The 15,030-nt window shown below is 35.3% G+C and overlaps 1 protein-coding gene across 2 annotated transcripts in view; it reads left to right on the top strand.

Annotated features, from left to right (window-relative positions):
* The window catches only part of DSC3 (desmocollin 3), a 53,378-nt gene that overhangs the window by 23,595 nt on the left and 14,753 nt on the right, over nucleotides 1–15,030 (top strand). For both annotated transcript variants that reach the window (NM_001941.5, NM_024423.4), the window contains exons 8-13: nucleotides 348–482; nucleotides 892–1,077; nucleotides 10,623–10,879; nucleotides 10,990–11,132; nucleotides 12,017–12,241; nucleotides 14,782–15,006. In NM_001941.5, coding sequence (NP_001932.2) covers nucleotides 348–482; nucleotides 892–1,077; nucleotides 10,623–10,879; nucleotides 10,990–11,132; nucleotides 12,017–12,241; nucleotides 14,782–15,006 — 1,171 coding nt within the window. The remainder of the gene's footprint in view (nucleotides 1–347; nucleotides 483–891; nucleotides 1,078–10,622; nucleotides 10,880–10,989; nucleotides 11,133–12,016; nucleotides 12,242–14,781; nucleotides 15,007–15,030) is intronic.

Genomic DNA, 15,030 nt, shown 5'->3' with positions numbered 1-15,030 from the left:
ACCAGCCTGGGTGACGGTATGAGACTCCGTCTCAAGACAAAACAAAACAAAACTCAAATATTCTTATTTTGTGCTGCCCCTATGACTTCCAAAAACCTTTTCGCTATTACCTGTTACTTAAAGCATAATTTCTGAGTACGGGTCTTTGTAATTTAATCTCTGCCTGCCTCTTCAGCTTTATCCTTGTCTACCAAATTCCTAGAGTCTGTGCAAATATGGAAATCAGGTAAAAGCACGGAAACACACAGATGTGTGTGTATGTGAGTGAGTGAGTGTGCAATTGAGGTTTCATTTATAAATCTACCAAAAATTTTTCAAGACTAGTTAAATATTTGCTTTGTTTCCAGGTTGTAGACAAGTACTCATTGATAATGAAAGTACAAGACATGGATGGCCAGTTTTTTGGATTGATAGGCACATCAACTTGTATCATAACAGTAACAGATTCAAATGATAATGCACCCACTTTCAGACAAAATGCTGTAAGTATATAATATCAAAATCTGCCTCTGTCTTATCTGCTATCATTTTTTATTTAAACTGAATTAATAAAATTAATACTTCATGAAGTATCATACTTTGACGTATACGTATTTTATGAATAAAATTAAAGTTTAAACAAGTGATATGTAAATTTATTTTATTTATTCATATTAGTGTTTCTATTATCTCCCTTCTGTCAAAGGCCAGTACCATGAGTCTTCATTTGTAATGAAACTTTTCTTTTATTTAAAAGATAACCCTTAATGAAACAATAGTGTTTACGATTCATAGTTTTAAAATAATCTATATAAAATTATAATGGTAAGTATTTTTGGAATGGAAGAAACTTTTTTTTAAAGTTGTCTATAAAATAAAATTTCAATTTTCAATGACTTCTTTCTGTTTCAGTATGAAGCATTTGTAGAGGAAAATGCATTCAATGTGGAAATCTTACGAATACCTATAGAAGATAAGGATTTAATTAACACTGCCAATTGGAGAGTCAATTTTACCATTTTAAAGGGAAATGAAAATGGACATTTCAAAATCAGCACAGACAAAGAAACTAATGAAGGTGTTCTTTCTGTTGTAAAGGTACAGTAATGTATAATTGACAACTTAGCAAATTAACAGGTTTTAGTTACCTAATAATTTAATCAACTAAATAGTTTCAGACCATAGACTCTACAAGTTGGAAGAAAATTTAAAATCTATTTAAACCACTATTCCAATCTCATGCCTGTGTGTCTTCTGTAATTTTATTGCTGATTGCTAGTCACCTAGCTTCTGCTTGAACATTCTCATTTATAAGGATCTCCATAGCTCCATTGGCCACTTATCCCACATTTGAAATGCTTTGGTTCTCAGAAGTTCTTACTTCTACTGTGTCCAGGTTATTTTTTCTATAACTCATATGTTTGGTTCTGATTCTTCCTCTAATGCTATTCAGAACAGCTATAATTCTTTTGAAAAGGCTGCTATGTTCATTTGAGACTTACTTTCTGTAAGATAAATATTCTCAATTTCTTAATTCTTACATGATGTGACATACAAACCCATATTCTTCTCATTTTCTCTATAATATATGCCTGGTTGTATCTGATCCTTTTAAAGGTGATATTCACAATGAAATTTAGTATTATCTCAAACAGCAATGAATGAACTTATTTTTTGTTCAGTATGTTGTATATTTGGTGGTGCTGGTACATTCTAGGATCCAGGTTATGAGGGTAGGAAGGGATCTGTTTGAAAAGGATCATTGGTTTTATACTTCTAGCCCAGAACAAAACAAAAATTAATATTGTCCTGTGGACAAGAATAGAGGTCATTCATTGATTGAAAGAGGCTTATCTGCCAAAAACAGTAAAGTGGCATCTTTGGTACACAAACACCTCTATTTGCAATTATTTCCTCTGTAAAAATTTCCAAGGCTCCTATACTAAGACTTGGCAAGTTCTGTCCAGATGTGAAGAGTCAAATATAGACTCTTGACATCAAGCCTCCCTATTTTATTTTTCTATAATATGATCTGCTCAAATTGAATACTAAAACCAAGTACTTAAAAAAACCCATTATGCTTTATAGTTGAGAGTAATAGGAAAGGAAATAAGAAAATACCACTGACTGCTTTTGTTTTTTATTAGTCCAAATCAATCTAGTCTTTATTTGGACTCTCCAGAAAGTAGAATGCAAGACAAAGACCTGAACATGGGAATGTATTTAGGAAGTGGGTCCCAGGAAGCCAATGTTAAAATGGGAAAATAAGATAGGGAAGGAGGAAAAGCCAATCTAGTCTGCATTATTGAGCTAGTCATCTTTGGTGTTCATCCATACAAGAAACCATGTAGAACTTGCCTCATAATTATCCCCTCAAAAATGGATACTTGGGGTATTTACCCCTCACATCCCTTCTCAGTACCCAGGCCCCACTGGTTGAAGGTTTCACCCAGGGATCCTTAAATTCACCACACTTCTGGATTGGGCTGTGCCTGCTGTCTGCTGAGGGAGCCCTCTGGTTTTAGAGGGAACCCTGAATCTGAAGAGCCAAATCTTTGAGTCTTGAGATGTGAATCTACAGCACACATGGGAACTGGCTGAGGGGCTGTGGTGTATAATTGTTCTGAAAAGGGCTACCGTATATCTCATACAGTTTCCAAGGCTGAACACTTAGGTAGTACAGGCATATGTTTCGAATTGATGTGATTGCAACAGATGTTCTGTTAAATGTTCTCCTGGACACCCTTCTCCCCTCTTCCTCCTGATGCAGGCAAATCCCAAAATTGGGGCTCAGCCCAGAGGGTTCCTGGCTTCACCTGGAAAAGAATTCAAGAGCAAGACAGTAGAGTAAAGTGAAAGCAAAGCAAGCTTATTAGAGCAACAGACAAAGGAAAATGGTGGCTTCACAGACAGAGCAGGGCTGCTCACTAGGCAGAGTAGCAATTGTGGATTGCTGGCTAGCTGTATTTATAACTACTCCTTAATTATATGCTAAATAAGGGGTGGGTTATTCATGCATTTTCTGGAAAACTGGCAGGAGTTCCTGGAACTGAGGGTTTCTCCCCTTTTAGATCATATCAGGTAACTTCTGGGCATTACCGTGGCATTTGTAAACCATCATGGCGCTGGTGGGAATGTCTTTTAGCATGCTAATGCATTATAATTAGCATATAATGAGCATTGAGGTCAACTAGAGGTCTCTGTCCTCATCTTCTTGGTTTAACTGATTGTGGCTGGTTTCTTGACTGCATACTGTTTCGATGAGATTCTGTTTTAATCAGCAGGGTCATGACTGATGCTCAGAAAACAAGTCCTGCTGATCTCCTACCTCACCCCCACCAAGCCTTGGTTTCTCCTGCAAATGAGTCAAAGGAATAGTTTAAGATTTGGGAAGGGCAGACAATATAACTACAGTAGCTTCTGTCAGAGACCCAAGCTCAGACCTTTTGGTGTGCTGTCTATCTGCTCCTTGGTCAGAAGGCAGCTTCTCCAGTCTCTCTCAAGGCCGTTATTCAAGATCCATGTGGAGAAACTCTATCATTATTGTTATTATTTAATATCAGAGGTTTTGTCTTGCTTAGAGGATATAAAATTTAAATACCACTAGGAATTACATTTCTAAGTTTTTTTGACCAATACAAAATGATCTCTAGCAAACTTTTTCTAAAGAATATACTCTAATTTTTAAAAAGGCCTAATCAATGAGTATATGTACTCAATGTTCTTTTGTATGTTTTTTTGTCCAAGGAGTTCTGACCATAGAGGTATTAAGAAAAACATTTCCAAAGGTGATTGGAAGTTATAACCTATATCATAGAATATTTCTCATTCCATGTGACTGACATGCATTTGTTTCATTTCTGAGTAGCACTCCAGGATTCTCCAGAATGGGCAGCAGTTAGATAATAATACTTTACTGCTTTGTTTTTGGTTCAGATTAACTTAATTTCACATCTGGAGTGTATCAAAAATTTCCCCAATACATTTATATACATTTATTTCCATTATTTTAAAACATAAGATAGTTACCCTTATATTTGATATTACATCCTAGTTTCTACATGAAGGAAATACTTTTAATATTTTTAGAATTTTAAAAGTAGCTACCATGAATCAAGTTCCTTTTATGTCACAGAAAATGCTAGGCACTTTACATAAGTTGTACATAGTTTTCATATCCCCTATATGACAAGGTGTTATTATCCCTATTTTACATTGATTTTTTTAAAAAGGCAAACCCCAAAAACACAACAACCACCTAAGGCTGATGAAGGTAAATAACTTCCTCAAAGTCAAGCATATATTAGCGATCCACCCCGGAACACAAACCTGGTCTATTTTGTTCCCAAATTAATTATCTTTCCATTACTGCATGCCATACCTCATTAAGCCCACAAGGCAGTTTGTATTCAATATGTCACAGAATATATTACATCTGCAGCCCCTTGTCATGAAATCTAATTATATTCTCAAATTCATACTTCATGTTAAACACAAATTAACAATAATGGCTAACATTTATTATTTACTAAATGCCAGACACTTTGCCAAGTGCTTAACCTATAGTATCTCATTTAATTGTTTTAAATGTCAATAGATTCTTTATTACATTTATTTATTAATAAGGCCAGTAATTTTCAAATTTTCAGTAAGCAGTCCATTAGTTCAAAGTTCAAAAGAAACAAAAATTCAAAGTTCAAAAGAAACAAAAAACATGGTGTAAAACGTCTCACTTTTACTTGGTCTGTCAGCCACTCAGCTCTGCTTGGAAGAATTAATACATGCCACCTGTTTCCTGTGTATTATTCAAAAGGTATTTTATATATACACAAACATGTTTAAGTAATCTTATCATGTTTCTTTTTTAAAAACAAATACATTTTACTTCAATTAACATATCTCTTGAGTTCATTATATATACATTGGAAATATTTCATGGTATGGTATGGACATACCATATTTTTTTAACCAGTTCCATATCTATGGAAGTTTAGACCACACCTATGGATATTCTGTATTCCTTATTCTGTGCTTTTCTTCATTCAACAACTTTTCCCTGAAGTCATTACATATTAGTATGTAAACAGTTTTGCCATTTTTTACAGCTATCTATTTTAGACATTACAGTAAAATATCCATCATATGAATGTAAATTATTATTTAACTAGTTCATTATAAATGGAAATTTAGGCCATATCAATGGAAATTCTAATTTTTTTATTATTTCAAAATATACTACAATGAATATACTACAATGTAAATGTAGGATAAATTTCTAGAAATGGAATTGCTTAGTCAAGGACATGGCTATTTTTTTCTGTGGTTGCTTTATTGCCTGATTGTCCTCCAGAAAGGTTGTGCATGTTGACATGCTCATCAGAAATGTACACACATGCCTGTTGTAAAATAATTGCCAACTATATTATCAAGTTTTGATATTTATCGGTTGAATAGCAAAAAAATGGTGTTTCAGTGTAGCTGAGCATTCCTTTTATATGAAGACGCCATTGAATATATTTTATATCTTCAAGCTCACTAGTCCTGTCTTTTAGCCAGCTTTCTATGTTTTGCTCTTCTTATCTATTAACTATTTATTTATAAGAGTTTTACGGAAGGAAATATTTTTGCAAATATTTTTACCAATTTTTATTGTTTTATAAGTTTGCTTGTGTTGGTTTTTGACCTCCAGGATTTGTTTTGTTGGCAGGGCTTGCTTGGTCACAATTTATCAGAGGCTTCTGTGGTTGTGAGATTTGTGTCATTATCATGGTATTGACATTATGAAAGCATTTTATCTGAAATTCTTCTACATTATTATTGTTTAATTATCTATCCAGTTAAATTTTTGATCTGTATGAAATTTATCCTAGAACAATTGTGATATGAATCAAATTTTAGTTTTTGTATCTGTTCCAATTCATGTTTTGACATATTTTCTTTGTCATAAAATAAGATACATGTATATTTGAGTTTGTTATTGACATTCTCTTTTGTACCGTTAATTTATTGTTTATTAATTAGCATCTATATGCTGCTGTATTATTGCTAGCTATTTAAGAATATCAAATGTATAATATGCATTTTAGTATTTGCAGTGTTCCATGCCACTCTTACCTAGTGATCTTCCTTTGTGGATTTTTTTCTTATGAATATCTTCCTTGTTTGTTCTTCCATGTGAACTTTCAAATCAGCTCCTAAGTTTAAAAATATCTCTTTTGATGTTTTTACAATTATATTAATTTCATAGAAAGAGTAGGAGAGAATTAGCATTTTTCTCCTAAGTCATAGCCAAGATTGTAATTTCATTTTTTTCAGCTGTTTTGTCTAATTTCTGTCTAGGATTTACATCCATATCCACAAAAAGGATTTACCATAGTTTTTCCTTTTCTATAATTGCTATTAAGTTTTTACTATCAATTTTATGCTTGCTTCATAAAACTAATTTATTTCCTTCTTTTTTTCCATCTCTGAAACAGTGTCCCACAAAACTTCCCAAAAAACATTGAATTAAAAGATTTATTTATCTTTCCAAAACAAGCCCATGTGGTTGTTATTCTAATTCTTCTCATTTCCAGATGAGTAGACTGAATCAAAGAGAAATAACATGCTGCAGTCCATACAGCTAGGATAGGTGATTTGTACCCCACAGTCAGGTGTTGAATGTCCAGACTATCTAGGAGAGATAACTCTGTTCATACAGCCAAGATACAAACCCAGATCTCTCTGGTGGGGAGCTCTTATTCATAATCCCTGAGCTGTTCTCCTTCTGGCTTGGTATCCTTGCTTCTCTTATGTCGCCTCTTTTCCATACTTGAGTTACTTAGCTTGATAAAGCCATTACTTCATTTGCACAAGAGGATCTTCTCTTCTTGCAACCTTAATTCATTTCTACTTTTGGGAGTTTACTTTTTAAATTATATTTTTCTTCTGACATTACTAGCTCCTTTGCTAATCGTACCTCCTCTTTTCCTTTGAGTCATTCATAGTCTGCTAACATTTTGATTAATAAAATTTGCTTTTGCCATGTTGTGTTATCCTTTTCATATTTTATCCAAACCCTTAGAAAAGCTGAATTATTATCACAGGGCTCCTTTGATAGCCATGCTAGTCTTTGAAAGTATCTTATTCTTTTCCTTGGGAAAGAGTTGTGATTGTGTGGTTAAATCATGTCTTTAAGTACTTTTTTTTTTTTTTTTTTTGGAGATGGAGTACTTTTAAGTACTTTTTTTTTTTTTTTCTTTTTTTTGGAATTTGCTGTCGCAATTCTCCTGCCTCAGCCTCCCAAGCAGCTGGGACTACAGGCGCATGCCTCCATGCCCGGCTAATTTTTTGTATTTTAGTAGAGATGGGGTTTCACCGTGTTGCCCAGGCTGGTCTCGAACTCCTGAGCTCAGGCAATCCGCCCGCCTTGGCCTCCCAAAGTGCTAGGATTACAGACGTGAGCCACCGTGCCTGGCATCTTTAAGTACTTTTTAATCTCAGTGAGTCATCTTTTATTTGAAAATCAAACACTGTATAATCATGGTGTTCAAAATCCATGTTTCTGTCATGTAGGCTATGTACCTAATGATGACTAACCTTTTGAGTACTGATTAAAGAATGACATCACTATGTTGTTAACTCTAAAGGAATCCTCCTCTTCCAATGCCCTGGTTCTTCCTTGCTAGTCAGAATTATATCCAGGGAAAGAGTGCATGTTATTCATTCCTTTATACCTCAAAGAGTTAAGTAATCAGTAGGCCAAACCAAGAATTGCTCTGGTATACTTTTAGCTGAATAAAGCTTGCAAACATTGTCTTACTAGTTAGCGTCTCCTTTTATTGCAATATATTGGCTGTTAACAAAAACATACAGCATTTATTCCCTTCATTCGCCTCTGTGACAGCTTGAGAGATTACTCAGAATTTAGTGTAAAGCCTTATTTTATGCTGTAGTGTTAAATGTCATTCTTACAACAATTTCACAGAAGAGAAGAGTTAAAGAGACTAAATAACTTTCCCAATGCCACACAGCTAGGATGTAGTGTAGACAGAATTTGAACCTAGCTCTTTGACTCTAACTATACGCTGTCAAGCACTATGTTAAATTGTTTTCCACAGCTGTGTGATCTTGGAAAGTTGGCCTCTGTGTTATCTGTAAAATGGGAACAATACTTCTTTCTGCCTCCCTAATAGCTCTTCAAATATAATATTGAACGTAACAGCACTTGGTAAACTGTGGGATATTATTATTTTATTTTAAAAAGTTATGCTATGTCCTTGAGACTAGTGTTATAATGTTCCAAAATAGATAACTTTTCTGTAACCACAAAGCATGAGTGATACAGGCTTTTGCTGTGTTCTGGGTAAACTCATTCCACCTCAGTGGCTTCTGTCCATTGGAGCAGCAGCAGTGACGCATATGGGCTTGAGTGAGGATAGTATTATTCTTGGTCCTTCTCAACATGGAGAGTCCTCAGCTCCATTTCCACAACTATACATTTTCTAGGGAGTTGTTAACATCTCAGTGCAGATGTGGGATATTTTTAAGCACTTTTTTTAAGTGGCGAAACAAAAACGTACCCTGAGGTGGAAGAGAATTTACAGGCTTTCCTATTAATTAATGAGATTAACTAATCCCATTAATCTTTAGGATTTCATCTCACCAGATTTTTAATTTTGGAGAGTTTTAAGCTACTAAAACAATATCCATCTTAAGCCTCGAAAAATGGGACAAAGAAACTCCAAGGCTTCAGCGAGTGTTTCTGGATTGAATAGTTGCACCTCCTCCAGTGCAGCAGCTGTTCTCTAAATTTCCATCCATTTCTCATTGCCAGCAGTTGCTCTTACTCTCTGTGTGATCACACCAGCACATGAAATGTGTGAAACAGTATTCATCAGCATCAAACGAACAGATATTAATATTTTTTTCCTTGACTCTCCAGTTTGTGGGATATACATACAAAATAAAAAAAGGTTTTACATATGTTTTGTAGATTCTAAGATTCAGAAACTTTCTTGACTTTTTAGTGGACTCGTGATACTAATGTCTTACTCTGTTAATACCTAGGTGTGGAGAAAGATTTAAAATAATTTTATTCACCAGTTTTGATTTTGTTCAATGTTTAGCCAGTGATTGTTTTGATAAGCAGAAAGAGAAATTGAAGAAAAAGTGCTTCAACTTTATAGTACAGTGTAACATAATGTTTTATGGGTTTTACTTGATTTGTTATCTAAAACTGAATTTTAGTCAAAGATTGATTTGGAAATTTTTTAGAGATCAGTGAGCCAATTAAGCAGCACACGATAGCAGAGGGATTATAGCGTAGGCTAAGGAAATGGACTCAGGTCAGACTACCTGGCTTCAAATTCAAGCTCAAATGATTATCTTTTGGTCTTAAAAAAAAATCAGTTTATCTCCTTTTCCCGTTTTCTGCTCTGTAAAATGAGGATGAGGTCAATAATACTTACTTCATAATGTCATGAGGATTTAGTGAGTTTATTTTCACTGTTAGAGTAGTGCCTTAGATTCAATGATAATTAAAATCAATCACATAGTATTTCCCTTACTCCTCTGTGTATCCACTGTGAATGTTTCATTGGATAAATTATAGACAATGCCAAAGTATAATTCTCAAGTTTTCAAAAATGTAATTTTCATAAAAACAGGTAGTGGGCATGGATGGATAAAGGTTTTAACTCATTCATGAAGGAACCAGCAAAAAGACAAGTTGATTCCTAAGAAGAAATGAGACTCTGGATGGATTTTGATAAAAGAAAAGCAGCAATTAGATGGCTCAGTTAGATGCCTTAGAGGGCAATTAAAACACACATTTGGGGCCGGGCATGGTGGTTCACGCCTGTAATCCCAGCATTTAGGGATGCCAAGGGAGGTGGATCACCTGAGTTCAGGAGTTCGAGACCAGCCTAAGATGGCAGAACCCCATCTTTACTAAAGAAAAAAATACAAAAATTAGCTGATTATGGTGGCACGTGCCTGTAGTCCCAGCTACATGGGAGGCTGAGGCAGGAGAATCGCTTGAACCAAAGAGGCAGAGGTTGCAGTAAGCCAAGATTGCGCCACTGCTCTCCAGCCTGGGTGACAGAATGAGGCAAGACTCTGTCTCAAAAATAAAATAAAAGAAAATAAAATACTGGAGATATCTTTTCTATGAGACAGAAAATGAAATCATTGCACCTTTTGGTTTTGTGAAAGTCAACATCAAACTTTACAAGAGTTATAAAATGCCTGGGCCATAGTCAGTAGTAACTGATAAGCCAAATAAAGGCAACTTCCCATACTCAGATGACCGTTAGCCCAGCCTGTTAGACAGTGCTCCAAGCAGGACCATAAGAATACTGTCATCTGTTTGCATTACTTTTTGAATCAGAGTAATTTTCCTTAGTAAGAGTGAAATATGAAAATATTTCCGGAATTTCGTTTGTCCAACTCTATGAAACTACCTGCAGAAGTTGTTGGACCATTCTTGGTAGAGGCTTAGCACGGGATCCACTCTCTGTTTAGCAAGGGATAAAAGTCAGTATTAACAACATGTGAACATAGAATTTATGCAGCACTGGTCAGGATGACAAATGTTCACTTGCCATTTGAAATGCCAGATGTATTTTACACTGACACTGATATACATGGACTTTATTTTAAAGCCACTGAATTATGAAGAAAACCGTCAAGTGAACCTGGAAATTGGAGTAAACAATGAAGCGCCATTTGCTAGAGATATTCCCAGAGTGACAGCCTTGAACAGAGCCTTGGTTACAGTTCATGTGAGGGATCTGGATGAGGGGCCTGAATGCACTCCTGCAGCCCAATATGTGCGGATTAAAGAAAACTTAGCAGTGGGGTCAAAGATCAACGGCTATAAGGCATATGACCCCGAAAATAGAAATGGCAATGGTTTAAGGTAAAAATAAATCTATAACCACATACTAATAATGTATTTGTAATCATTGAGATAGTAACTTATTTGAAAACATTTTCTGATGCTAAAGACTATTTTTTTTTTATTAACAGGTACAAAAAATTGCATGATCCTAAAGGTTGGATCACCATTGATGAAATTTCAGGGTCAATCATAACTTCCAAAATCCTGGATAGGGAGGTTGAAACTCCCAAAAATGAGTTGTATAATATTACAGTCCTGGCAATAGACAAAGGTAAAAAAAAAGTTTTAATCTGGTATTCTATAAAGGAATTAGAGAATAAAATGTAATTATTCTTATGCAGATTTATTTTGGTGGTAAGTGTATGGAATTCTTTGAAATTACTTTAAAGACTCTTTCTGTCTCTCTTAATTATCTAACAAGGTGAAACTGTTTGGTGACAAGAAGCCGTGTTTTATTTATCTTTATATCCCCAATAGGGCAGGACCTTAAATTCTTATGTATTTCTATGCTAGAGGACAAAAATAAAACTGAAATCTAAAACTAGATAAAATGGTCTCATCAGACTCTTCCACATCCGTTTGTGTCACTTTAAATTGAGCTTTTATATAGTTCAGCTGCATATTAGGTCAAAATGATCCTTTTCTTGAATTCTGTTCCTTAAAGTAACCTAGAGTTTTTCAACCTTGTCTTCACATTAAAATAAAAATATTAATCTGTAGATACTTTGTTAGACTAACTGAATCAGAATATCCGGTTGTGGAGCCTAGGAATCTTATATTTTAAAAAAATCTTCCTAGTGGTTTGAATATATACTGGGATTAGAAATCTTATCTGTAACCACTTTACTGCTTACTAACATGTGGCACCTGGAACCCCCAAAAATAGAGATTGAAATTCAGACATTTATTTTTATTTGGTAGTAATTCTGGTAAAAGATTTATTGACAGTTGTATCTGATATTATCAGTAGCAATAGTCATTTCAAATTAGCTGCAGATTCTATTTATCTGTCTATGTTCTTATTTATTTATCATTTCCTTTAATAATCAGTTTATTTAAAAACAGATCATGTATAGAATATAATTGACTTTTTATTCTTTAAGAAACTATGAAAGAATTTTAAAATAACACTAAACCTTATTCCTGTCTCCTTAGATGATAGATCATGTACTGGAACACTTGCTGTGAACATTGAAGATGTAAATGATAATCCACCAGAAATACTTCAAGAATATGTAGTCATTTGCAAACCAAAAATGGGGTATACCGACATTTTAGCTGTTGATCCTGATGAACCTGTCCATGGAGCTCCATTTTATTTCAGTTTGCCCAATACTTCTCCAGAAATCAGTAGACTGTGGAGCCTCACCAAAGTTAATGGTATTTAATAAAAAATAATGATTTATAAACTCTGAAATAACAGAATAACTGGAGGATAGATTGACTTGCTTACTTACACAAAGCATGAAGTAAAACTGAGTCTCATTAATATATTTTAGAAGGATAAACTAACCTTTTACAAATATTATATGGGGGCTCTGTTATATATAAAATGAAGGAAGATGTAATTTTTATGAAGGCAACATTTACATTTACAACAAAGGAAAGCTTTGTTAAAATGTTGGGCAGCTTATCATTAAGACAAACTTTGTGTGTGTGTGTGCATGTTTTTAAAAATAATGCCAATGGCTGGGCATGGTGACTCATGCCTGTAATCCCAGCACTTTGGGAGGCCTAGGTGGGTGGATCACTTGAGGTCAGGAGTTCAAGACCAGCCTGGCCAACATGGTGAAACCCCATCTCTGTTAAAAATACATAAATTAGCTGGGCGTGGTGGCAGGCACCTGTAATCCAAGCTACTGGGGAGGCTGAGGCAGCAGAATCACTTAAACCAGTAGGTGGAAGTTGCAGTGAGCTGAGAGATGGTGCCACTGCACTCCAGCCTGGGGGACAGAGGGAGACTCCGTCTCAAAATAATAATAATAATAATAATACCAGCGAGGTGAGGAGAGAGCAGAAGATGTGTAGTTTAAATTGTATTGTAAGCTGACTCTGGAAGTGAGGAACTCAGGTGTATAGACCAAGCACTCTAGGGTATCCTGGAAGTGAACCTGGCGGGATATAGCAAGGGATATGGGAAGGAGTATTGAGGGGCTGCTGCCTATTGTAGCAGTTTCTGGGGGCTGTCATGTTCTGTACTTCATCCATACTTCATTCTGTTGTTACTGCCATGTTCTTTCATGCAACTGGGCTTTTGTGTATATAGCCATATCTACATAGAATACCTCCTTTTCCATTTCTTAGCTTGATATTTATGAGCATGATATTTTTTTCATGATATTTATGAACATCTACTATCTATTAAGCACTCGTCCAGATCCTGAGGATTTATATAGAGATGAACAAGACAGACACAATCCCAGCTGAGATGCTCCACCTCTGAAGTTTGTCTTGAATTGGAAGGAGTGGCACCATGACCCTTCGCTACCTGCATTGCAGTGCCTTTCCTGTTGTATTAACATCTGATTACTTCTCCCTTCCAATACATGAGTTTCCTAGAATGTTTGCAATTCATCTTTGTACTTCCAGCACCTAGCCTAATGCTTAGTAGATACTAACTGCTTCATAAATGTTTGCTTGTTCAATAATTGATTAATAATGTGCATAAAAGAAGAAACATACCAGGAGAATAAGTATATCCATGTCATTAGAGTTTAGAAGGTTTTAGTAAGAATGCCAAGAGGTTGGGTGGAAGGAAGGGTAGCATCTGGTGGTGAAGGGCCTTGTGTGCCAGGCTGAGGGGACTAACCTTGGTACAGTAGGCAACAGCAATTATGCATTGGGAATGTGCAAATAAGGCAATGCCATTCCCAGATTTACATCTTTTAAAGGTGACACTGTTGACAGGAGGACAATATGAAGGGGGCAGAGTTGAGTGAAGAAAAATCAGAGGCCAATGCACTACTGTGAATAACTGAGACATGACAATGGCTCCACTTGTTGTCTTGAGGGAGCGGAGAGATTTCAAGGATCTTACCTTAGACACAGTGTGGTCTTGAAGGGTCCTAAGTAAACCCAAGTGGTAATTCATATTCCTCTAGGGAGCCTTCAGGTATGAGGTGCAGCCAAAATCTTTGAAATTCTTACAGCTACAGCAGAGCATTTAATCAAGGCTTAGGAATTCCAGATGACTTCCAGGGTGTGTATTATGCTACTTTTTCATTTTACTTAGTCTATTATAAAAGCTCAGGGAGGCTGTAACTGCCATTGAAATTCTGTGGAGCTTTTGGTTAGTTGACAATATGGTCATTAAAATAATAGATCAAGACTATTGGGGAAAATTGACTATCAGAGTTGATAAAAGTGAATTGTTATATAGATATTTCTGTTTTGTGTAAGCCTTATAAGTAGCCTGAGTGACATTAATTAGCTTCTGGTACTAAGATTACTTCCAGATGCAAAGGTGTTAATCGTAAACAATCTATTGTGCTTTGAAAAATTACCTTATCCATATGAATAGTGCGCAAATACTAGAAGGTCAATGGATAAGAAACGTAAACTTCAGAAACTATTTGTGTGTACCTGTAGATACATTGGTACTAAAGAAAAATGCTTGAAGTGTATGTTAACAGCCAACCTAACAGTATTAGTTTGTATAGATAAACATTACTGGAATACTACTGGGCTACTCCAATGCCAAATTATTTCTTTAGGGCTCCCTTCTAAGGAATTACAAGGGACAACACATATAAGATAACAGTAGAGTTTGAAAGGGTTGAAGACAGTCCTCCATTTTTATTTATTTTCATCTGGCAGGCAGTTCCTTGAGAATGACGCCTTCAAAAACAAGCGTGATGAAACAAATGCTAAGGGAAGAATAAATGATCATTAAAAAATAAACTTCTTTTATTTTCTTTCAGATACAGCTGCCCGTCTTTCATATCAGAAAAATGCTGGATTTCAAGAATATACCATTCCTATTACTGTAAAAGACAGGGCCGGCCAAGCTGCAACAAAATTATTGAGAGTTAATCTGTGTGAATGTACTCATCCAACTCAGTGTCGTGCGACTTCAAGGAGTACAGGAGTAATACTTGGAAAATGGGCAATCCTTGCAATATTACTGGGTATAGCACTGCTCTTTTGTAAGTATTTTCACTTTCTTGAAG

This window comes from Homo sapiens, chromosome 18, assembly GCF_000001405.40.
Source record: "Homo sapiens chromosome 18, GRCh38.p14 Primary Assembly".
In the NCBI taxonomy this organism is placed as follows: Eukaryota; Metazoa; Chordata; class Mammalia; order Primates; family Hominidae; genus Homo; species Homo sapiens.
Note: the sequence above shows the minus strand (reverse complement) of the source record. Positions and strands in the feature narration are given on the sequence as shown.